Source organism: Homo sapiens, chromosome 5 (genome assembly GCF_000001405.40).
Source record: "Homo sapiens chromosome 5, GRCh38.p14 Primary Assembly".
Lineage (NCBI taxonomy): Eukaryota > Metazoa > Chordata > Mammalia > Primates > Hominidae > Homo > Homo sapiens.
In genome coordinates, this window is record NC_000005.10 from 173,055,745 (window position 1) to 173,081,006 (window position 25,262).

Here is a 25,262-nt window from a genome sequence, read left to right on the forward strand (position 1 = left end):
CTGTAGTAGTGGCATTCTGGTTGTACAGTCGTATACGGGTCTCTCTCTTCAAAGGTGCACGCAGTCTGATTGATCCCTGTGCCTCGGAATCCGTGCTAAATAAATATTGAGTCGGTGAATGAATGAACGAACGACAAAAGGCAAGGTTTGTCTCTCACTTAATTAAGACGTTCAGATGGGGAGAAGGTCCATCACCCATGACATCGATACAATCCCCCTACTAATCAAGTTAGCCACTTCAAGTTTCAGTGAACTTAAACTACAAAATGGGCAAAAGGACACCTCATGCCTCACAGCGCAGTTCTGAGATCTGATAAAACGCTAGATTTGAAGCCTTTGTAAAAAGGAACATCCTCTCCCATCCTGGGCGTGCTGCCGGGTATCGCAGACGGCCCACGCCCACACTGCAGAGGCCGGCACCGAGCCCCCGCTCCGCCCTCTCTTCCTGGTTTTTCCCGGCAACCCGCCCCTCCGGCGACACGTGACAGGGGTGCCCGGCCGGACTCAGCCCCTGATTGGCCGGGCTGTGGAACGCCTCGCGATTGGCCCGAGGCCGGCGGGCCCCCGCCTCCCTCCTCCTCCTCGCCGCGGCCCACGTGAGGGGGGCGAGTCACGCGATTTCCGGGAACCCGTCAGGAAGGACATAAACAAAACAAACCCGAGGCAGCATGGAGAGGGGCCGTGGCCCCTGCAGCGGAACCGGACCCAGTCCCTGAGCCGCCCCTACACCCACAGGTGAGCGCCGCCACCCGCTGCTCGGAACCCCCAGGGGCCTGGGCTGGGGGAAGAGCGGAACGGGGGGCGGAGGGCCGCTTGCCTAGGAGGCAGCAGCGCTGGGGCTCTGGGCCGGGCCGGCGCGGGGCGGGGGCCGGGACCACGGCCGAGTGCTAGGGCGCGCGGGCCTTGGGCCACCGCCTGCAGGTCACGGGGGCTCCGCTCCCCTCCCCCACCCCCGGCCCGGGACGGTTACATAAAAGCGCGGGGCGGCGGTAGATGGGACTCGCGGGCGGGCAGTAGGCTAGGCCGGGGATGGGCAGCGCCGGGCGTCCGTCCTGCCGGGCCGCCCGGCCCTTCCCCGCTGCCTCCGAGCCCGGGGCCGCTGCTGCCGGCAGTCGGCCTGTCAGAGAAGAGAGCGGGTGGGAGGGGCCCGGGAGGGGAGGGGAGGCGAGACTGGCGGGGGAGGAGGGGAGAGAGGGGCGTGTGAGGAAGGGCCGGGGCCGCGGAGGTTGGAGCCAGGCTGGCAGGAGACGAAGAGGCGCGGGCTGGGGCTAGGGGGGTCCGAGCAGGGCGTCTCGGGGGTAGCCGCTCCCCCTTCTGTCCCCGCCTCAGAGGCGACGGGCGAGGGGCCTCCCTCCCGGGATTTGTTTATATGTCTTCTCAAAGCAGCTTGAAGCGGCTGAGGGGCGGAGCCCTCAGAGCTGAGTGGCAGGCTCTGGCGTCCAATGGAGCGGGCGGATGGAGACTTCTGCACCAATGGGCGTGGGGGAGGCGGTGCCGCGGGGGGGCCACTAATTGGTTAGGCTGTGCCGGAGGTGGGCCGGGCGGGGCAGCCATGTTAGATGGGAGGGGACCAGTGGTGGTGGGTCACTGAGAGGGGAGGAGACAGGGCAAAGGGCGAGGGAGCCGGGCCGGGGGTGTTTCGGGTGTCCGAAGGCGAGTCCGATCGGACCAGGAAGTAGCTCAGGGGAGCCTGACCTCGACCCGCCTTTCTCCTCACACGAGCTGAGGAGGCAGGGAAGTACCGAGGGCAGTCAAGCCTCCCCTGGGGGTGGTTCCTGGGACTAGATGGAGCTCAGTCTCTGGATTCTCCCTCTTTCTCGGCCCTATGCTTCCTGACAGACCTGGCCGCCAAACCCTGTAATCGCCCTCCTTTAACCCAAGAAAGCAAGTCTTTCTGCCGTTTCTGAGCTGGCTTGAGCCTTAAGACTACCTTAAGGAGGTACTTGGATAAATAGCGGTCTGAATTTCTGTACCAGGCCTCAGATAAGAGACAGGCAGTGAAGGGGAAGTTTTGTAAAAGAAAACGGGACTAGAAAAGCCGAGCAAGTTGAGGGCTGGGCGGGGTTTCTTTTTTTTTTTTTTTCTCATCAGGATGCCTTTTAAAGATTAGGCCCCGTGCTTGTCCTAGTCTTAGTAGTAATTTGCCCCTCTTGCTAACATAAGTTGGTAGTCCACATTAATCAGCTTCTTGAGAAAACTGAGCCCACAGGAAGTTATTTAGTTTCGAAGGTTCTTTGGGACTTTTCTTGCGAATACCCTGCAGGTGAAAAATAGGATCAAGGCCTGGAATTTCTTTTTTTTTTTTTAAAGCAGAAAACAAGACTTGGGTGTAAATCTTGTGATCTGTCGTAAACTAGTTGTCACTTGATTGTACTTTTAAATATCTTTAATCTTTTAATCCAAAATAGGATATACACCAGAGGCAGGGAAAAATGGTATGAATAATTCGAAAATAACTTATTTTAATCTAATTGTATTATGGTTATTTTGGCATCCTTTTGGCCTTGTTAAATGCTTAATTTAGGTTTGTGTTTACATCGGATTACAACCTGTGGCTACGTTGGTATTGTCAAGGGTACCAAGCTCTTGATGGCATCTTTGGTTAAGTACTTAGGCGTAAGAACATGCCTTAGATAGATCATGCAGGGGCTAATCAGAGTTAGCTGTATTAAGAATTTGCATTATCTTCTATTTTATTAGTTGGAGAAAAAGAATAATTGGTAACTGATTCATCAATTTTTTTTTTTTTTTTAATTTGAGACGGAGTCTCGCTCTGTCGCCCAGGCTGGAGAGCAGTGGCCAGATCTCGACTCACTGCAAGCTCCGCCTCCCGGGTTCACGCCATTCTCCTGCCTCAGCCTCCGGAGTAGCTGGGACTACAGGCGCCCGCCATCACGCCCGGCTAATTTTTTTTGTATTTTTAGTAGAGACGGGGTTTCACCATGTTAGCCAGGACGGTCTCGATCTCCTGACTTCGTGATCCGCCCCCCTCGGCCTCCCAAAGTGCTGGGATTACAGGCGTGAGCCACCGCGCCCAGCCTCTTTTTTTTTTTTTTTTTTTTTTTTTTTAAGACGGAGTCTCCGTCTGTCGCCCAGGCTGGAGTGCAATGGCACGATCTCGGCTCACTGCAACCTCCGCCTGCCGGGTTCTAGCAATTCTCCTGCCTCAGCCTCCCGAGTAGCTGCGACTACAGGCGCGTGCCACCATGCCTGGCTAATTTTTTGTGTTTTTAATAGAGACGGGGTTTCACCACGTGCTGGTCAGGCTGGTCTCGAACTTCTGGCTTTAGGTGATCCACCCACCTCAGCTTCCAAAGTTCTGGGATTACAGGTGTGAGCTACTGCGCCCGGCCTGATTCATCAATTTTTGTAGTACTTTGGCATGACTGACTCAGTTCTGTTAATAATGATACATAAAAACGTAATCCCTGATTATTTGATAAACTTGAATTCTTACGTATAACTTTTGCAGTAAATAAGGGTATTAGCTTATTTATCAGTTCTTCTTTTTCTTTTTTTTCTTTTTTTTTTTTTTTTGAGACGGAGTTTCGCCCTTGTCGCCCAGGCTGGAGTGCAGTGGGAAGATCTCGGCTCACTGCAATCTCCGCCTCCCGGGTTCAAGCAATTCTCCTGCCTGAGCCTCCTGAGTAGCTGGGATTACAGGCGCCCACCACCACGCCCGGCTAATTTTGTATTTTTAGTAGAGACGGGGTTTCACCATGTTGGCCAGACTGGTCTTGAACTCCTGACCTAAGGTGATCTGCCTGCCTTGGCCTCCCAAAGTGCTGGGATTACAGGCGTGAGCCACCGCGCCTGGCCTATCAATTCTTATTTTATCAGGTGGCATTGTGTTGCTTTTGGAACCCTAGCCCTTACAATGCCCTAATTAGTTTAACAGAGAAGTATAGTGAAAATAAAAATAAACACTTTTCATTGATACTTAGAATATTCCAGGCAGTTTTCACTGTTGCATCGGTTGATAAAGTCAATCAGCATTGCTTATATAATGCTCTCTTATTCTAAGAATGGCAAATAGATGCAATAGAACTTATTTGGGTATAATTCCTTCATATGACTGGTATATCAGCTTTGGGTTTTTTATATTCATAAGCATAGAAGAGGCTAAATAGCTCCCGAAGAGAGTCTGGATGCTCCATTTACCATCATTCTCTGTCATGGCAGGTGAAAGCAAGCTTTTATATAGACAATGTTCTACTTAGTTTACAGGGTGTCTACTTAGTTTACAGGGTGGATGTGTGTGGGTTCTGGGATACTAGTGTAAGAAGTAAAGGAATAACTAGCATGGTTCCTGGTGGTGGTTAAATACAAGTGACAGTGAAGTACAGTAAGTTTGTGTGTTGATTCTGTTAATATAACTCAGTTTTTAAAAGATAAAGAGAACTGAAATCACTGTTTGCTTTTAAAGCTTAATTTTCAGTCAAGATCGGCATCTATATATTTATTTAAAAAATACATATATATATATATGTTTTTTTTTTTTTTTGAGACGGAGTCTAACTGCGTTGCCCAGGTTGGAGTCCGGTGGCGTGATCCTGGCGCACTGCAACCTCCGTTTCCTGGGTTCAAGCGATTATCCTGCCCCAGCCTCCCGAGTAGCTAGGATTACAGGCGTGCACCGCTATGCTCAGCTAATTTTTGTATTTTCAGTAGAGACAAGGTTTCACCAAGTTGGCCAGGCTGGTCTTGAACTCCTAATCTTAAATGATCCGCCCGCATTGGCCTCCCAAAGAGCTGGGATTACAGGTATGAGCCACCGTGCCCCCTCTAGTTATGTGATTTTGAAATGAATTAGCAGTCGCTTGTTTCCAAGTAGGGTTGAACTTGGATTTTTTTGAGGAACAATTCACTGACACTTTCACCATATTCAGTAGCTCATTTCGGGATAGGTAAACTCTTAGACGAGACATAAATTTGTCAGATAATTGGTTCTGATTATTTTAAGACAAGGGTTGACAGACTTTTTTTTTTTTTTTGGAACAGGATCAAATAGTTAATATTTAGGCTTTTTCAGCCTTCCAGTCTCTGCCACAACTACTCAACTTTGAATCTGTAGCATGGAAACAGCTGTAGAAAATATGTTCTACATATTTTTGGGCTCTATTCCAATAAAACTTTATTTACAAGGTCAGGCTGTGCCTCTATTTGTGCTTCCACGGCTATAGTTTGTCAGCCCCTGTTGTAAGACATCAGTCATTGAGGTTTTTTGTTTGTTCGTTTTTTGAGACAGAGTCTAGTTCTGTCCCCCCTGCTGGAGTGCAGTGGCACGATCTCGGCTCACTGCAACCTCCGCCTCCCGGGTTTAAGCGATTCTCCTGCCTCAGCCTTCTGAGTAGCTGGGATTACAGGCGCCTGCCACCGTGCCCAGCCAAGTTTTGTATTTTTAGTAGAGACGGGGTTTCACTGTGTTGGCCAGGCTGGTCTCAATCTCCTGACCTCCTGATCTGCCCGCCTCAGCCTCCCAACGTGCTGGGATTACAGGCGTGAACCACCACATCTGGCCCAGTCACTGAGTTTTAAGTACTTAGATGTTAAGGTATTTCAGAATATACAAATAGACACTTTAGGTACATTTGAGCATTTGCAGATTGTACAGTCTCCTGCCTTGAAGAGAATTTTTAGTACAAGAGCATATGGCAACATTGTATTTTGTATTTTTCCTTCGTTTACATATAAATGTTTTCTTGAAAAGCTGTTTAAAGCAAATATTGGTATAAATCCTGTTGATTTTAGAGATGCAGTCTGATTGAAAAAACTTTGGCCCTAAGATATATTCAGGATATGGTCCTCTTGAAGTTTCAAAGCACATTTAGCATATAATCCTTAACAAAGCTGTATAGCTGTTTCAAGAGATGATAGTCACGTGAATAGTCAACACATGTAGTTCTTATATTCAAATATGCAGTTAATTTAGAAGTTAAGACATTGAGTGCTCATTGCCTGAGATGCTTGAAGAATTAAAGAGAGTAGGATGCTTTTTCCAGGCCCAAAAAGATACAGGTTACCTCCTCTCTTTTTCCAGGGAAAATGTCAAGTCGTGCTAAGTGCCTAGTGAAGCAGAGATGCCGTAATCTAAAAATATAACTGGGAAATACTAAATTTTTTTGATAACTTTTGCTTTATTTTTAATGTAATATTTCACCATTTTTGTTGACTTGAACTGGATTTCAAGTGGAAGCGTAAAAGTTTAGAAAAGAGAATATATTGACCTTTATGAACTGAGAAACATGTGGCCTGCAATCTTGTTTCTAGATCTAGCTAACCTAGGGTCTGCCTGGATGACTACAGATAATCTCAGTTTATTAATTTGTAGTGGTAGGGATTAATGATGTTTTCCATCTCACAAGGGGATACTGGGAAATTTTTAGTTACTGTATTCTTAAAGTCTTGTACTTTGAATATGCTAATATTTCGGTCTGCTTGAAACCACTTCTCAAATCTGGATTCGATTTTCTCCTGGCTTATTTGTCTTCCCATTAAACTATGAGCTCCTTGAGGTCAGAGTCTGTGTTTTATTTCTATATATTCACTGCCTCACACTGTGCCTGATACCTTTTAGTGCTCTTGAACTGTTTAAATGAATGCATGCATTGCTGAGAACTGCTTATCTGGAAAGTAATAAAGTCTACTATTAGAGATGTTGGGCTTTTCTTAGTTAGAAAGGAGGAATTAATCACCGTCTGTTCAAACAAAAAGCCTTCATTCTAAAATTGATCCGTTCTTTTAAGAAAGTTTTTAGAGAAGCTATTTTGATGATGTTTAAAAATCTCTTTAGTTCCTTTGTTAATTTGTTTTCAGATGAACTCCATTAGTTAGACTTGTTGAATATTCCTTGCAGGTATTAAAAAAAAAAAGTTGTGCTTTGTTCTTTGGATTTGTCCTATTTGGCAAATGTGGATGGAATCTCTTATTTCATACAGGTTTGGGATAATTTTTCATCTACATAGTAGGGTCTTTTTTTAAGGAGGGCACTGTAAAATCATTCTTTTTTTTTTTTTTTTTTGAGACGGAGTCTTGCTCTGTCGCCCAGGCTGGAGTGCAGTGGTGGGATCTCGCCTCACTGCAAGCTCTGCCTCCCGGGTTCACGCCATTCTCCTGCCTCAGCCTCCCAAGTAGCTGGGACTACAGGCGCCCGCCACTACGCCCGGCTAATTTTTTGTATTTTTAGTAGAGACGGGGTTTCACCGTTTTAGCCGGGATGGTCTCGATCTCCTGACCTCGTGATCCGCCCGCCTCGGCCTCCCAAAGTGCTGGGATTACAGGTGTGAGCCACCGCGCCCAGCCTGTAAAATCATTCTTGCTAATAAGTCTGACTCACCTCTGTGGGGTAGGCTAGGATTTGGATCGAGTTTGACGCAGGGTGCGGCAGTAGTATCACCAGCCAAGCCTTATATGCATTTCACCAATTTATGACCTTTCCTCCAAAATCTATATTGTAACTCTCCTTCCTAAACAGCTTTCTAAACTACTGCTTTCCGTACTTAACTCTTGGCAACATAAATCATCCTACACTCTGTCCTTTCAACACCAAAACCACTTTTATATCTTTTGGGTATTACTGATTTTGAGAATTTCCTATGAAAGCCTCACAAATTTCCTGATTTCTTCTTCTCTATTTTTTTTGAGACAGAGTCTCACGCTGTTGCCCACGCTGGAGTGCAGTGGCGCCATCTCGGCTCACTGCAACCTCTGCCTCCTGGGTTCAAGCGATTTTCCTGTCTCAGCCTCCTGAGTAGCTGGTATTACAGGAGCACGTCACCACACTCAGCTAATTTTTTGTATTTTTAGTAGAGGTGGGGTTTCGCCATGTTGGCCAGGCTGGTCTTGAACTCCTGACCTCAGGTGATCCACCTGCCTTGGCCTCTCAAAGTGCTGGGATTACAGGCGTGAGCCACCACACCTGGCCTGCTGATTTCTTTTTCTTAATTTTTAATTTCTTGATTAAAAAGAATTTTTGTTCTTTTTGACTTTTTTTTTTTGAGGCGAGTCTTGCTCTGTCACCCAGGCTGGAGTGCAGTGGTGTAATCTCTGCCCCTGCGACCTTCGCATCCTGGGTTCAAGCAATTCTCCTGCCTCAGCCTCCCAAGTAGCTGGGACTACAGGCACCTGCCACCATGCCCGGCTAATTTTTATATTTTTAGTAGAGACAGAGTTTCACCATGTTGGCCAGGCTGGTCTTGAACTCCTGACCTCAAGCGATCTGCCTGCCTTGGCCTCCCAAAGTGCTGGGATTACAGGCGTGAGCCAATGCACTGGCCTAAAGTTTTTTTTCTTAAAGACTAGTGTGATAGTAAAGCTTGCTGTTTTTTTTGTCCTCCAGTTTTTTTTTAGATTCTTGTTGTACATATGTTTTCTTCAGTATAATATTTTGTCCTGAGGGTTTGAGGTGCTCCTTTTATAAAAGCAGTTTCTTTTTTGGCTGCTGATGGAATTGCTGCCTTTTCTATTATAGGTTAGTCATTTACTGAGAAATTTAAAGCATTACAAAAATAAAACGTTGATATGGGGAGGAATTAGGGGTAGGGTGGGTGTACTTTTGAAAAGATTCATTGTAGAATTCCTTAAAACAGCAAGGCTTCTAGCATCCTAGTGGTATGGTATAAATGAGGTGGACTCATGCAGTTTTTGTTGTTGTTGTTTGAGACAGGTCTTGCTCTGTCACCCAGGCTGAAGTGCAGGGGCACGATCACGGCTCACTGCAGCCTTGACTTTCCAGGCTCAAGCAGTCCTCCTGCCTCAGCCTCCTGAGCCTCCTGACTATCTGGGACTACAGGTGCGCACCACCACACCTGGTTAATTTTTTTTTTTTTTTTTTTTTTTTGAGACAGAGTCTCGCTCTGTCGCCCAGGCGGAGTGCAATGGCACAATCTCGGCTTACTGCAACCTCCACCTCCCGGGTTCAAGCGATTCTCCTGCCTCAGCCTTCCAAGTAGCTGGGATTACAGGGATGTGCCACCATGCCCAGCTAATTTTGTATTTTTAGTAGAGTCGAGGTTTCTCCATGTTGGTCAGGCTGGTCTTGAACTCCCCACCCCAGGTGATCTGCCTGCCTTGGCCTCCCAAAGTGCTGGGATTACAGGTGTGAGCCACTGCGCCTGGCCCACCTGGCTAATTTAAAAAATTATTTGTAGAGAGAGAGTTTTACTATGTTTCCCAGGCTGGTCTTGAACTCCTGAACTCAAGTGACCCTCCTGCCTCAGCCTCCCAAAGTGTTGGGGTTACAGGTGTGAGCCACTGTACCTAGCTGTACAGTTTTTGAACTGCTTTTTAGTAAGGTTTTCATCTTTACCTTTGAATCCTCTACTAGAGTTGCCCATAGACTAGGAGAGGAGACACACATTGCAGCCCAATGTTACGATGGTTTTTCAGAACAAAATGTTCTGAAATATGGAAGAAGGACTGCTAACTCTGCCTGGGGAAAGTTGAATATTCATTGAAAAAGTGGTGTTTGAACTTAGTTTTGAAGATTAGTGAAGGAGGCATTCTAGTACAGCTGAAGTATAAAAGATGTGTAGTGTGGGGTTGGGTATGAGATGGTTTGAGCTAAGGCAGAGGTGGGAGGGAGAATGGAAGAGGAGGAAACTGATGTGTAAGATTTAGGAGGAAATAGCTTTTTTTGCTTTCACTTTGTCCTCTAATTCTCTTCAGTCTGTTCTATGCTGTCAGGTCTCCAGTCTCTTTTCCCTGTAGCTCCCTGTACCTCTGACTTTGGTTGATTGGTTTTTTCCCCTAGTGTTCCATTTTTCTTTTAGTCCCACCTTTTCTAATGTGTTGGTACTAAAGTACCTTTCATTCTGACTCTATTTGTCTCTTGCGTTTATTTCACCTCCCACCCTCCCTCCCTCTCTCTCTTTATTCCCTTTGGGTTATATTTCTTTCCTTTTCTTTTCCTTTTTCTTCTTCTTCTTTTTTTTTTTTTTTAAAGACAGGATGGTGCAGTGGCACAGTCATGGTTCACTGCAGCCTTGACCTGGGGCTCAAGTGATCCTCCCACCTCAGCCTCACGAGTAGCTGAGACTACAGGTGTGTGCCACCATGCCCAGCTAATTTTTTTTGTAGAGACAGGGTTTCCCCACATTGCCCAGGCTGGTCTTAAACTCCAGGGCTCAAGCCACCCACCCACCTTGGCGTCCCAAAATGTGCGATTACAGGCGTGACCAACCGCACCTGGCCCCTTTGGGTTTCTCTTTGCCCCTACCTTTCCTTTTTATTTGCTTTATTTTATTTTTTATTTTTTTTGAGATGGGGTTTTGCTGTGTTGCCCAAGCTGGCCTCAAACTCCCGGTGTCAAACAATCCCATCTCAGCCTCCTGAGTAGCTCAGGCTGCAGGCGTGTGCCACCTCTCATTATCTTTTATTTAAAAGCAAAACAAAATAAATTCTTGCGCACTATCTGCTTATTTTACATGTAAATAGCAAAATAAGCTGATTCCCTCTTGGGAAATCTTGTAAGATCAACTAGCTTTTGATACCTGTTCAAAGACTAATTATCCATTTCTGTGAATTTCTTTTTATGAAACATTTTCCTTTGTATTCAAAGATGCTACTTCTTCAAAGGCCACAGTGTAGAATGTGACTGCCTATGTGCCCTGTTTTCTATTTCTTATGCACCTACAAATTGTTTGATAACAAAGTCCAATTCACCTTTTTCCTAAAGCTTTTCCAAACTTTCCCAGGTAGTAGTATTCTCGGTAGTTGTCTATTATTTTGTAAACACCTCTTTTTAAAATTCAGCTTTATTGAATTATAATTTATGTAAAAGAAAATTCAACCAATTTTGAGTTTTGACAAACACATGCTGTCGTCTAACCACTGTTATATCTCTAACATTTTTATCACCACAGAAAGTTCCTCATGCCCCTTTTGTTCAGTTCTCCTGCACTCGCCCTTGGCTCCAGTCACTGATTTGCTTTGTATCACTATTGTTTTGTCTTCTCTGAAATTTCATATAAATCTTTTGGTAGAATGTGTTGTCTTTTGAGTCTGACTTCTTTTAGTTAACATTGATTTTGAGATACTCATATTGTGTCGTATATTCATTGAATCTTTTTTTTTTTTTTTTTTTTTTTTTGAGACAGGGTCTCATTCTGTTGCCCAGGCTGAGTGCAGTGGCGTGATAATGGCTCATTGTATCCTTGACCTCCTGGGCTAGAGTGATCCTCCTTCCTCAGCCTCACGAGTGTCTGGGACTACAGGTGCCATCATCATGCCTGATTAATTTTTGATTTTTTGCAGAGATGGGGTTTTGTCATGTTTCCCAGGCTCGTCTGGAACTTTTGGTTGCAAGCAGTCCTCCTGCCTTAGCCTCCCAAAGTACTGGGATTACAGGTGTGAGCCACCTTTCTCAGCCTGAGCCACCGTGCTCGGCCTGAGCCTTTGTCATTGTATGGACATACCACAATTTATCTGTTTATCAGTGGGTAGACATTTGCATTGCTTCCAGATTTTAGGCTATTATAAATAAAATGGCTTTAAATATTCATGTACAAGTCTTTTAGATATCTCTTTTAACATTCATTACATTTTATTTGGAAGTTGAGTTGCAGAGCTGTCAAGACTGAACACCCAACATTCATAAATAGGCATTTTGCTAGTTCTGTGGTTTTGAGCATCTTTCAGCTTAGATTCATAATCTGTAAAATGGGACTGGGTGGAGATTCAAGCAAGCTAGAGAGCACAGGCCAATTTAAAGAGGATACCTCTTTTTAGTTCAAGTGATCATCTTTCTGGGAATGTATACCCAATGTCAGATCTAATTTTTTCCCCCAAAAGAGTGGTATTTGAGATCAGACATCAAATTTTATATGAAATTTCATGTGAAATTTAAATACTGGTAGTTACAATTTAAAAAACACTAATGCAACTGATTTGCAACTGAACACAACTGATTTGTGGGCGTTGATTTCTCACTGCAGTACAGTTTGAGACCTTGGCTTTAAATCTTCAGTTAATTGGCCGGGTGCCGTGGCTCACACCTGTAATCCCAGCACTTTGGGAGGCTGAGGCGGGTGGATCAAGAAGAGGTCAGGAGATCGAGACCATCTTGGCTAACGCAGTGAAACCCCATCTCTACTAAAAATACAAAAAATAAGCCGGGTGTGGTGGCGGGCACCTGTAGTCCCAGCTACTCGGGAGGCTGAGGCAGGAGAATGGTGTGAACCCAGAAGGTGGAGCTTGCAGTGAGCCAAGATCGCTCCACTGCACTCCAGCCTGGGCGACAGAGCGAGACTCCACCTCAAAAAAAAAAAATCTTCAGTTAATTTTGTCTTCTGTTTTAAAATGTATATCCTCCCAGTAGAGTGCACTTGTTAGGTCCTTTTTACCTTAGTTTTATTAGCATAATAACTTGCTGGTTGTCAAAATTCCCAAGTTAAAAACTAACGAGTTACTGTAAATTTTATTCTTTTGTCTGATTGGAAGGATATTAAGAATACTGACTGCCTGATGGAGGAGTGGAACTAGGTTCAGGTTACTCTATGTACTTCTCCTTCTCTGATAGCTGCTGATTATATTCAGTGCTATGTTTTCTCAGCAGTTGGAATAATCTGCCTCACTTGTTTGATTTATCTCAACACTTTTGAGACAAGTATGGTATAAACTCTGTGTGTCTCTTTATTAGAAACTATGCAAGGTGTTACAGATATACATACAAATTTTATATGACTCTGTTTCATATGGCTCAGATTGTCCAGAGCCATTTGGTGAAGCCAGTATAATGAACTATGAAAAAGTGATAAATTATATGTAATTGTTTGAACAATAAAGAGCAATAATCTTTCTAAAGAGGCCTTTTCCCCTTTATCTGCCATTTCTTTATTGTGTATAGAGATGACTAGTTTGCAGCTTTATGAATGACTTTGTGAGTCCAGAGATTCTTTTGCTGATTAAACCAGCATAATTGACATACACCCTCATAAACCTGGGGGCAAGGGTGTTAAGTGTCGTGTGTTGCCTGAGTATCCCATATTCACCCTGGTTCTAGCTTGGTGGAATGTGGAATTTAGACAATTTAGGATTTTGAGTGGGCCAGGCGCGGTGGCTCACGCCTGTAATCCCAGCACTTTGGGAGGCCGAGGCAGGCGAATTGCCTGAGCTCAGGAGTTCGAGACCAGCCTGGGCAACATGGTGAAACCCCATCAGTACTGAAAAAAAAAAAAAAATTAGCTGAGCGTGGTGGCGTGCACCTGTAGTCCCAGCTACTCAGGAGGCTGAGGCAGGAGAATTGCTTGAACCTGGGAGGTGGAGGTTGCAGTGAGCTGAGATCACGCCACTGCACTCCAGCCTGGGCGACAGAGGGAGACTCCGTCTCAAAAAACAAAAAAAAAGAAAAGGATTCTGAGTTGAGTTTGGTTTTATACCTTAATAGCAGCAACATCCCAGGAGTATCACATACCAAGGAATAGATCTGAGAATAAAAATAGCCACCATTTATTGAGTGTCTGTTTTGTGCTAGGGCTAGATACTTTATATGTTATTTTATTGTGAATCACAATATCCCCACAAAATAATGGGGAATTCTTGCATTTATACATAAAGTAAGGCAGATGAGAGTCTGGAATGAAATTCTTTTTTTTAAATATATTTCTTTTTTTTTTGAGACAGAGTCTCACTCAGTTACCCAGGCTGGAGTGCAGTGCCGCAATCTCTACCTCCCGGGTTCAAGCAATTCCCCCATCTCAGCCTCCTGAATACCTGGGATTACATGTGCGCCACCACACCCAGCTAATTTTTGTATTGTTAGTAGAGATGGGGTTTCACCATGTTGGCCAGGCTGGTCTCGAACTCCTGGCCTCAAGTGATCCACCCAGCTTGGCCTCCCAAAGTGCAGGGATTACAGGCGTGAGCCACCATGCCTGGCCATGAAATTCAAAATATTCACTCACAATGCATAACCTTTTACCTAGAGTTTGTTCCTCATAAAGCAAGCTTTTTAGGAATGTTAGAGCCAAAGTGGCACCGAGCTTTTCTCAGTGTTAAAAGAGATGACTGCAAAACCATGTTCAAATAACCTCTGTACTGGCTATTATGTAGTTTATGCTGGTGGTATAGCCTGCTTCACAGTAGGAAGGAATTTGAATATATCTCTAGTATATTTCATGCTGCTTTTGAAAAGGTGCCAAATCTGAGAAAGGAGGAAGGAAACAATTTTTTTTTTTTTTGAGACGGAATCTCTCTTGTAGTCTAGGCTGGAATGCAGTGGCGTGATCTCGGCTTACTGTAATCCCGAGTTCAAGCGATTCTCATGCCTCAGCCTCCTGAGCAGCTGGGACTACAGGTGTGTGCCACCACGCCTAACTAATTTTTGTCTTTTCAGTAGAGATGGTTTCGCCATGTTGGCCAGGCTGGTCTTGAACTCCTGATCTCAAGTGGTCTGTCTACCTTGGCCTCCCAAAGTGCTGGGATTATAGGCAGTGAACCACTGTACCTTGCCCCTACAGTAAATTTTGAAGAAGAGTTCAAATCCTTGCTAACAACAGCATCAAAGTTGTTACAGTGTGTGAAGAATGTGTGGTGTCACTGGAATCCTGCTGTGTGCTCCAGTGCATTCTCACTTGCACCACTGCCTGTTTTTATGCCGCTGCCATTAATTGTACTGTTCTCTTTTTAACATTTTATAGATTTCTGCAGAACAGCTTAGAAAACAAAGTGATTCTTTAAAACTAAAATCTTTAACATCCTGCATAAAATATTTTGTTTTACTATGGTGAGTTTATCTTCCTGCTTTGTAGTTTAAAATATTAAAATAAAATAATGACGAGGGAGAGAACAATATAACATGCATCGGTCCAGTGCCTGAATTCAGTTGATTTAAATTAAATTTAATTCTACTTCTTCCTCTGTCCTCTCTTCCCTAGATAATAATTACATCAGGTCTTTAAAATGGACTAAAATTTAAATATCACTCTTCTTGGAAATTAAAAAAAATTCAGGAGTACAATTTTTCATATTTTTACTATATGATACTACAGTGGTTCAAGACTCAATTTAACAAACTAAGATGCTTTGGAGCACATAAACGATGCTCAATAAATATATATTGAATAATTGACTTTTTTGTAATGTCCTCATTGTGAAGAGCACCACACCTTTGATTCCTTATCCAGAAGGACATGTGGTCTTAGGGGATTTTCCCATTCATTTTCAGCCATCTCTTGTGTGGATGACTGCTCGGAAGGGCATTGCATTTGGCACTGTAGTGAAATAGATGTGAGATATGATGGTCATTCTCAAAGATGTCACAGTCTGGTAGTGGAAGCAAGGGAATAGGAGAGAAGATGAAAAATATGAGCTAAGACATGAAGGTCAGTCTCACTACTGGAAGTTCTTAGTGGAGTAAAGTGGGATTGTAACTATCTTGAGGATTAGGGGAAATGGTAAAATCAGTCTAATATTAGACTTAAGAGTAGTGGAAGACAGAGTTGGAAAGATAGTGTCATTGTGTATGAGTATTTTTGTTTGTTTGTTTGAGATGGAGTTTTGCTTTTGTTGCCCAAGCTGGAGTGCAGCGCCATGATCTCGCATCACTGCAACCTCCGCCTCCTGGGTTCAAACGATTCTCCTTCGTCAGCCTTCTGAATAGCTGGGATTACAGGTGTGAGCCACCACGCCCAGCTAATTTTTCTTTTTAGTAGAGATGGGGTTTCATCATGTTGGCCAGGCTGGTCTCACACTCCTGACCTCAGGTGATCCACCCATCTTGGCCTCCCAAAGTGCAGGGATTACAGGCATGAGCCACCGTGCCCGGCCTTGTTTTTGTTTTTTTAAGAGACTAGGTCTCACTTTGTGGGCCAGGCTTCTCTCAAACTCCTAGGCTCAAGTGATCCTCCTGCCTCAGCCTCCCAAAGTGCTGGGATTACAGGTATGAGCCACTTGTGTCTGGCCTAAGGTCTGAGTAGTTTGGACATTATCCAAGAAATGTATGGGAGTTGCTGATGACTTTGGAGCACAGTGTTAATATGACGTGTGGTAGGTTAGAAAGAATAATTTTATCTTATATTAATAATTATTTTAGGCTGGGCATGGTGGCTCATGCCTGTAATTCCAGCACTTTGGGAGGCCAAGGCAGGCGATTGCTTGAGCCCAGGAGTTCGAGACCAGCCTGGGTAACATGTTGAAACCCTCTCTAAAAAAAAAATGCAATAATTAGCCAGGCATGGTGGCATGTGCCTGTATTCCCAGCTACTTGGGAGGCAGAAGTGGGAGGGCTGCTTGAGCCTGGAAGGTGGAAGTTGCAGTGAGCTGAGATCACTCCACATCACTCCAGTGTAGGTGACAGAGCAAGACCCTGTCTCAAAAAATTATTTTAATAATTTTCATTAATTTTTAATAATTATTAAATTTAAAATTTTTCCTTTTTTTTTAAGAGACAGAGTCTCACACTGTTGCCCAGGCTGAAGTGCAGTGGCACAATCATAGCTCACTACAGTCTTGAACTCCTGAGCTCAAGCCATCCTCTTGACTCAGCCTCCTGAGTAGCTAGGACTATAGGCATGTGCCACCATGCCTAATTTTTTTATCCCTTTTTTTTTTTAAGACAGTGTCTTGCTCTGTCGCCCAGGCTGGAGTGCAGTGGCGCAATCTGGGCTCACTGCAAGCTCTGCCTCCCGGGTTCATGCCATTCTCCTGCCTCAGCCTCCTGAGTAGCTGTGACTACAGGCACTGGCCACCACGCCCGGCTAATTTTTTTTGTTTATTAGTAGAGACGAGGTTTCACCGTGTTAGCCAGGATGGTCTCCATCTCCTGACCTCGTGATCTGCCTGCCTTGGCCTCCTAAAGTGCTGGGATTACAGGCGTGAGTCACTGTACCTAGCTGCCTGGCTGATTTTTACTTTTTTTTTTTTTTTTTGTAGAGACAGGGTCTCACAATGTTTCCAAGACCAGTCTCAAACTCCTGGCCTCAATTAATCCTCCTGCCTCGGCTTCCCAAAGTGCTAGGATTATTGGCATAAGAATAATTTTAAAATGGGGCATAAGAACTCAAGAGAGGGAGAGGAGGATAGAGACAGGAAGACTGTAGGGTAAATATTAGAATGGTAAATATAAGATGATGAGGACCAAGTAAGGGTTGAAAAAGAGGGAAGGGCAAAGTCAAACAGATGCATTTGTGCTCAGTACAAGGTAAGTGATCTGTACATCTTTGTTAAAAAGAATTGGTATGATTCAACAAAATGAGTAGGGGAGGAGAATTTAAAGAGTGAAGGCTGAAATCAGCCTTCTATCCCTGAAAGTCAGAGAGTGATAGTATTGACAGAATAGGAATGTTTGGATGGGGAGATGGCATGTTGTATCTGCAGTGATGGAATGTGAACATGGAGATATCCACATCTCAGATGATAGAGCTCACGCATGCACATGTTTAGGTTCAAAATGTAGATTTGCGAGTCTTTTAGAAATGATCTCTGAGGCCCAAAGAGTAGAGATAGTCTTTGTAACAATAGGTTTGCTTGGAGGCATCCATTTACTGAATGACCTTGGACAAATCTCTTACCCTTGCTGTACTTTTTATTTATTGATGTAAAAAGGGTTGGACAGGGACTGGGGGATAGTGGTTATCCTGATACCAAGACTATATTACCTAGATGTTTTATCAAAATACTGGTCCTTGTTACTTCACCAAGTTGTTTTATTAAATGACAGGGTTTAGAAATGTACTTTAATCTGTAAACAGCTACACAGATACATACAAACTGAATATTTTGTCCCCAGTGGTAATCAAAGTTGGCTGGGATTAGAAATGCATTCTCTGGTTCTGTCTAAAATTGTTCCATGCTCTTATTCTTGTGCTCTGAACAACTTAATTGACAGATACCAAGGCTGCAGAAAGCCTCCAATACCTTGCAATTGATAGTTTTCAGAAATAAAAAGTAGTCCTTCCCATTCAACTCAGATTAATCCAGAAACTTGCTTTAATAGTCTTTTTAGGGCCGGGCGCAGTGGCTTACGCCTGTAATCCCAGCACTTTGGGAGGCCGAGGCGGGCGGATCACGAGGTCAGGAGATCGAGACCATCCTGGCTAATATGGTGAAACACCGTCTCTACTAAAGATACAAAAAATTAGCTGGGCGTGGTGGTGGGCGCCTGTAGTCCCAGCTACTCGGGAAGCTGAGGCAGGAGAATTGCTTGAACCTGGGAGGCGGAGGTTGTAGTGAGCCGAGATTGCGCCACTGCGCTCCAGCCTGGTGACAGAGCGAGACTCCGTCTAAAAAATAAAAAATAAAAATAAATAAATAAATAAATAAATAAATAGTTTTCTTTTTGGCCGGTTGCGGTGGCTCATGCCTGCAATCCCATCCCTTTGGGAGGCTGAGGCGGGTAGATCACCGGAGTTCAGGAGTTTGAGACCAACGTGACCAACATGGTGAAAACCCACCTCTACTAAAAATACAAAATTAGCCGGGTGTTGTGGCACATGCCTGTAATCCCACTACTTGGGAGGCTGAGGCAGGAGAATGGCTTGAACCCTGGAGGTGGAGGTTGCAGTGAGCTGAGATCACACCATTGCACTCCAGCCTAGGCAACAAGAGTGAAAGTCTGTCTCAAAAAAAAAAAAAAAAGGCTTCTTCCTTATTGGTTCCCAAAGAGCTTTGACTAAGCTCCCATATGTTGTCCCTGTAACCCAAAGATTAAAGTTGGATAGGAGCCTTTGGAAAGGAATTGAACAAAATTGTAACTGAGAGTTCTTCTGTCTTCCTCTAACATGGCATTCTAAGAAGAGATCACTTTTGAGATTTAGTATATCCTCTTTGCTTTTTAAGATTTTCAGTAAAAGGTGGTTTTATTTTGTTTAATTACATTTTTTGTGGCAGACCTAATTCACCTCCCATATTTTATTTTTTATTTTTTAAAATTTTTATTTATTTTTATTTTTTTATTTTTTGAGACAGAGTCTCACTCTGTTGCCCAGGCTGGAATGCAGTGGCATGATCTCAGCTCACTGCAACCTCCACCTCTGGGGTTCAAGTGATTCTCCTGTCTCAGCTGCCCAAGTAGCTGGGACGGCAAGTGTGCACCACCACGCCTGGCTAATTTTTGTATTTTTAGTAGAGGGGGTTTCGCCATGTTGGCCAGGCTGGTCTCGAACTCCTGACCTCACGTGATCTGCCTGCCTCATCCTCCCAAAGTGTTGGGATTACAGGCATGAGCCACCGTGCCTGGCCACCTCCCATATTTTAAAAACTCTCCGAATGTGAGGATAAAAGACTATTACATTGATCAGGTATACAGAGTTTGCAAGGTGGTATGGCAAAAGGATCACAGATTCTTACAAGGTCATTATAAGTACTGCTTTGGCTAGGAAAATGATCTTTTTTCACCCAATCTGAGGGAAAAGATACACTTTCTTCCTTACTTTCCTCTTTTCCCATTGTCCTTCCTTAAAGACTAGCAGCAGCAGAATTTGGAAAATAAATAATGGGCATGTTTTGCTAATAATCATGACAAACTATAATAATCTGTTTTGAATTTTACTTGCCTGTTTCTAAATTTTGGAGTCTAGAGAACTGCTATCAAAGGGTAAAATATAGTGATTCACCTGCAGTTTTGGTTACAGGTTTCATATTACATAATAAAGGGAGAACTTGAGCCCCACCTTTCCCCCAGTGTATTCCTTGCATAGGCAACCTCTGCTGCTTAAATGTTTTGGAGACTTTGGGATGTCTGATTTCAACTGTACCGTGAAACAGGTAGTGGCTTGACTTAGTAAGCATCTGAAGGACTGTTTTGTTCTACTCTTGCAGAGTAGAGTAGTTTTCAAAAGGAAAGGAAAGGAATTGTTGAGTGGGACCTATGAAGTATAGCAGGATGGATAGAATATGAGGCAGATGGGTCCTAGTTTGCTAAAGAGCTTGGGCCATCTGATAAGTTGTCTTTCTTGCCAAACAAGGGAGTCACGTGGGGTATACACATTGTATAAGCTTTTCAGTCACCGAGGTTGCCTGTCCTTCCTGCCTCCCTGTTTCGTTGCCTCCTTGCCTCCCTTCCTCACTTCCCTTCCTTTCCCACCTCCCTGTCCACACCCCTTCCTTCCCCTGCCTCTCTTCGTTTCCCTTTCCTTCATTCTTTCCTGCCCTCCTGCCTACTTCCCTGCCTCCTTTCCTTTACCTCTTGTCTTAGTCTATTTTCTGTTGCTGTAACCACAGATTGGATAATGGATAATTTTAAAGAAAAGAGATTTATCGCTGGGCGTGGTGGCTTATGCTTCAAATCCCAGCATTTTGGGAGGCCGAGGCAGGAGGATCGCTTGAGCCCATGAATTCGAGACCAACCTGGGCAACATAATAAGACCCCATCTCTACAAAAAAAAAAAAAAAAAAAAAAGTAATTAAGTAAAAGAAAAGAGATTTATTTGGCTCATGATTCTGAAGACTGGAAAGTCCAAGAACATGACACTGGCATCTGTTGAGGGTCATCCCATAGTAAAAGGTGAGAGGATGAGAGCACGTGAGACAGAGGAAGTTGAGCTGAATTCATTTTTTCTATCAAGAGCCCACTCCTGTGTCCAGTGATAATGTCATTGATACCTACCTCTTAAAGGGTCCACCTTCCAATACTGTTAGGATGGCATTTAAATTTCAAACATGTTTTGGAGGGGACATTCAAACCGTAGCATCTTCCTTGCCTGTCTTCCTTTCTTTCCTTTCTTCCTCTTTCAACTTTACTGAGGATTAAGTCTTAGGAGAAATGATTTATTTAAATTAGAGGTCATGGCCAGGCATCAGTGTCTCGCACCTGTAATCCCAACACTTTAGGAGGACAAGATGGGTGGATCACCTGAGGTCAGGAGTTTGAGACCAGCCTGGCCAACATGGTGAAAACCGGTCTTTACTAAAAATACAAAAAAATTAGCCAGGCGTGGTGGTGCTGCATGCCTGTAATCCCAGCTACTCAGGAGGCTGAGGCACAGCAATCGCTTGAATCCAGGAGGTGGAGGTTGCAGTGAGCTGAGATTGCACCACTGCATTCCAGCCTGGGGGACACAGTCAGTCTCAAAAAAAAAAAAAAAAAAAGAGAGTGTTTAGAACAGTTTCTGCCTCTTAGAATTGTGGATCTGGAACAGTTTAAAGACAACAGAGAGAGGAACAAGACCTCTGGTCACATGAAAGAAATGAGCATGAACCAGCAAAGATTAGGAAGGATCAAAGTAGACCATAGTATATTAACTACATAGCAGTATAAATTTATTGGCTTTTTTTTTTTTTTGAGACAGTGTCTCACTCTGTAGCCCAGGCTACAGTGCAGTGGCACAATCTCGGCTCACTATAACCTCTGCCTCCCAGGTTCAAGCGATTCTCCTGCCTCAGCCTCCTAAGTAACTGGGATTACAGGCGCCCGCCACCATGTCCAGCTAATTTTTTGTATTTTTAGTAGAGACGGGGTTTCACCATATTGGCCAGGCTAGTCTCGAACTCCTGAACTCGACTAATTCGCCTGCCTTGGCTTCCCAAAGTGCTAGAATTACAGGATGGGCCACTGTGCCTGGCCTGTATTCAGGCATTTCTTACCTAAAAAACGTAAAAAAAATTTTTTGTGGTAAAATATACATAAAATTTACTATTTTAATCATCTTTAGCTGTACAATTTTATGGCATTAAGTACATTGAGAAGTGTTGTGTAACCATCACCACTGTCTATTCCTGAACACTTTTTTTTGAGACCGAGTTTCACTCTGTTGCCCAGGCTTACTGCAGTGGCATGATCTCAGCTTACTGCAGCCTCTGCCTCCCAGGTTCAAGCGATTCTCCTGCCTCAGCCTCCCAAGTAGCTGGGACTACAGCCGTGAGCCACCATGCCTGGCTAATTTTTGTATTTTTAGTAGAGACAGGGTTTCACCATGTTGGCCAGGCTGGTCTTGAATTCCTGACCTCAAGTGACCCACCTGCCTCAGCCTCTCAAAAGTGCTGGGATTACAGGTGTGAGCTACCACCCCCAGCCTCCAGAACACTTTTATCATCCCAAACAGAAACTATGTACACTTATTAAATAAAAACTATCCCAGCCCTTAGTAACCTCCATTTTACTCTCTTTCTCTGTTCTAAGCACCTCATAAAGCCTAATCATATAATATTTGTCCTTTTGTGTCTATTTTACTTACCATAATGTTTTTAAGGTTCATTCTTGTTGTAGTGTGTATCAGGATTTCATTCATTTTCATGGCTGAATAATATTCTGTTGTATTTGCCATATTTTGTTGATCCATTCATCTGTTTGTGGACACTTGAGTTGTGTTTACCTTTTGGCTTTTGTGCATAATGCTGCCATGAACATAAGTGTAGACATATCTGTTTGAGGCCCTGCTTTTAACTCTTTTAGGTATATACCTAGGAGTGGAATTGCTAGATCATATGGTAATTGGATTTCGCTTTTTGAAGAAATACCAAACCGTTTCCCACACCAGCTGCAATCCTACCAGCAAATGCACAAGGGCTCTGATTTCTCTATATCCTTGCCAATATTTGTTATTTTCCACTTTTTGGATAATACTCATCTTAATTGGTGTGTCAAAAATGTTTTAACATTTACTGTGATGAATGTTAGATGATTCGGAAGAGCTACTTACTGTTGTGAGGAACCAGTTTCCTTAAGTTACTAAAAGGGGGCTTAAGCCAGTTCCATATAAAACAAGAGCTGCAGGGATTCTGGCCATCATATACAACATCTCCTTATTCATAAAATACTCTCATTTACAAAAAGGTTTATGTATTTATTATTATTAATGTATAATAAATATATATTTATTATTCGTAAAATACTCTCATTTACAAAGAGGTTTATATATTTCTTGATGTGAAGTTTTTCTTTTTCTTTTTTTTTTTTTGAGACGGGGTCTTGCTCTGTGGCCCAGGCTGGAGAGCAGTGGTGCGATCTCGGCTCACTGCAAACTCTGCCTCCCGGGTTCACACCATTCTCCTGCCTCAGCCTCCCAAAGTGCTGGTGAGTATTTTTAGTAGAGATGGAGTTTTGCCATGTTGGCCAGGCTGGTCTTGAACTCCTGACCTCAAGTGATCCACCTGCCTTAGCCTCCCAAAGTGCTGGGGTTACAGGTGTGAGCCACTGCGCCCAGCCGACCCTATTGCTAGTAAGGTTAATTTTTCAGATTTTAAAGGGTATCAAACTTTTCTCCCAAATCCAGGTTTTATGCCAAGATTATACTGATCCACTTTATTGAACACATGACTTGAATTAGATGCCTTTAGGGAGGCCTAAGTCATAGGTCTAGAAAAAGTGACTGACCTTCTTTCTCATAGGAATCAGGGGAGAGAATTAGGGCAATGATTATGACTACATACCAGTTGTAGGACGACGGCATGAGGTCACATAAGGAGAGACTGCACAAGAACAGGCCTTTGGCAGGAACAGGGAGCAATCTAGTTATACTGTAGCACTGAATTGAAAAGCATAGTTAACTGTTTCTAGGTGGGCACTTGACATTGTTTCCTAGGTTAGACCAGTGAGCTGGGAACGACAGCCCACTGGAGGGGAGAGTGCAGCAAAGATCCAGAAAATGTGAATTATAGTCAGTTTATTAATCTAATTAAGTAGAACAATGATTGAGTCCCTGGGTGTGGTGTTGCTTGCCTGTAATCTCAGCTACTTGGGAGGCTGAGGCAGGAGAATCACTGGAACCCAGGAGGTTGAGGTTGCAGTGAGCCAAGATTGGGCCACTGCATTCCAGCCTGGGTGACAGAGTGAGACTCTGTCTTTTTTAAAAAAAAAAAAAAAAAAGGAAATTAATACAATGTACCACTGTAACCCTCTAGCCCAGACAATGTGCTGACTTCAGAAGGCAAATTCAGTGTAAATTGACTGTTTACCAATATAAGAAGTGACACTGCTTCTGGACTGAATTAGATCAAGGATAGGACAGTGGTTCTCAAACTTTAGAGAGGACCACAATCACCTGGAGGGCGTATTAAAAAACATTGCTGGTACCCACTCCTAGAGGTTCTGTTTTGATTCTTCATTTTAAACAAATTTTTAGGTTGTTGCTGATGTAGTACTGCTGATCCTTGGATCATACTTTGAGACCCACTGATCTTGGACAGGAAAATGAAGCGAGTATAACTGTTTAGTTCCTCCTGGTTAAAGTCTTCATGGAGAAGGGAAAAAACACTAACATTTAAGTCTGTACCCTGTCAAAATCCTGTGCCAGATGATTTGTAGTCATTGTTTTACTTAACCCTTGAAACCACTCTGCAAAGCAGTCCTCAGGCCCGTTTTCCCTCAAACATACACCTGTTAAAAACTTGCTGGAATGATTCTTTCTTCAATGAGAGCTTATACTTATAACTGAAAGAATAATGTTGGCATATACCATTACAAATGTGATTTTATTTAATGTAGAGGATATGTTAAGTTCCATTGCTGACTATTATGTATTCATTACTCTTCTGTTGACTTATGAGAGAGATAAAATGTAGATTAATTTAGCAGTAATGATTATACAATAGATGGAATTAAATTTTGAGATATGTTTTCTCATAAAGAACATAAAATGAATGAGAGCTTGACTTTAAAAATCAATATATTACATCTTTCAGATCACAGAAAAAATAAGCCTATGTTAATTTTGTGTTTTTTTTTTTTAATGTTGCCAATTGGTTATTGACCAGCTCTATTTTAGAAAAATATAAGAGGAGGAATGGTAAATTTCAGAATAGTAAGTATTAAGATATGACCAAATCCTTGATAACTCAACCATAAGACTTACTCATTTAAAGTACAGTATTCTCTGCTAATATTATTTTTCAAAAGTCAACTTTTTTTTTGAAACATCAACTTGTTTTTCCTGGAATTCAGTGAAGTTACTTTGTGTTGTTTGACAGACAGCATCGCACAGAATTATTTTAAAAAAAAGCAGTGATCCAAGCAATTGAATTGGAAGCACTCTGGGGAAACCTGCTGTTTATTGTGGAAATCATCTTCGATCTTGGAATTGAAAGTAAAGCTGGAAAGGAATTTACAAACAAGAAAAAAAAGAAGTTTGGAATCGGATTCACAGGATCTGGGCTTGGAAATGCCTCAGGTAAATCATACAGAGTAGGTGCAAAGTTTTTTATTTTCCCACTACAGAAAGTCAATACCTTTGACTCTTAAATGAATCTTAACACAACTTTGCATACTACCTTTTTGTGATATCTCATTTCTGATCTCAGCTAGTTTTGAGTACATGTTCTTCCTTCCATTGGCTTCTATTTCTTACTTTGCTATCACTTGAAGTTTAATGAGTTCTACATAGGTAGTATGA

At 43.3% G+C, this 25,262-nt stretch overlaps 1 protein-coding gene across 8 annotated transcripts in view, besides 2 other annotated features; it reads left to right on the forward strand.

Moving 5' to 3' along the window:
• Positions 359-868: a silencer, noted in NCBI's record as "silent region_16634". NCBI's record gives its function as "represses an Ori minimal core promoter by ATAC-STARR-seq in GM12878 lymphoblastoid cells {active_cell/tissue: GM12878}" and the evidence as "EXISTENCE:reporter gene assay evidence [ECO:0000049][PMID:35858748]".
• The window catches only part of CREBRF (CREB3 regulatory factor), an 82,933-nt gene continuing 58,278 nt past the window's right edge, over positions 608-25,262 (forward strand). For 2 of the 8 annotated variants that reach the window (NM_153607.3, NM_001168394.2), the window contains exons 1-2: positions 608-735; positions 24,841-25,040. In NM_153607.3, the coding sequence (NP_705835.2) occupies positions 25,032-25,040 (9 nt within the window). In that variant the 5' untranslated portion in view covers positions 608-735; positions 24,841-25,031. Of the gene's footprint in view, positions 736-1,636; positions 1,940-4,668; positions 4,765-22,835; positions 22,949-24,840; positions 25,055-25,262 lie in introns of those variants that run through there. The other 6 variants (XM_047416801.1, XM_047416802.1, XM_005265821.4 and 3 more) reach the window with 6 other exon arrangements.
• Positions 1,019-1,588: a silencer, noted in NCBI's record as "silent region_16635". NCBI's record gives its function as "represses an Ori minimal core promoter by ATAC-STARR-seq in GM12878 lymphoblastoid cells {active_cell/tissue: GM12878}" and the evidence as "EXISTENCE:reporter gene assay evidence [ECO:0000049][PMID:35858748]".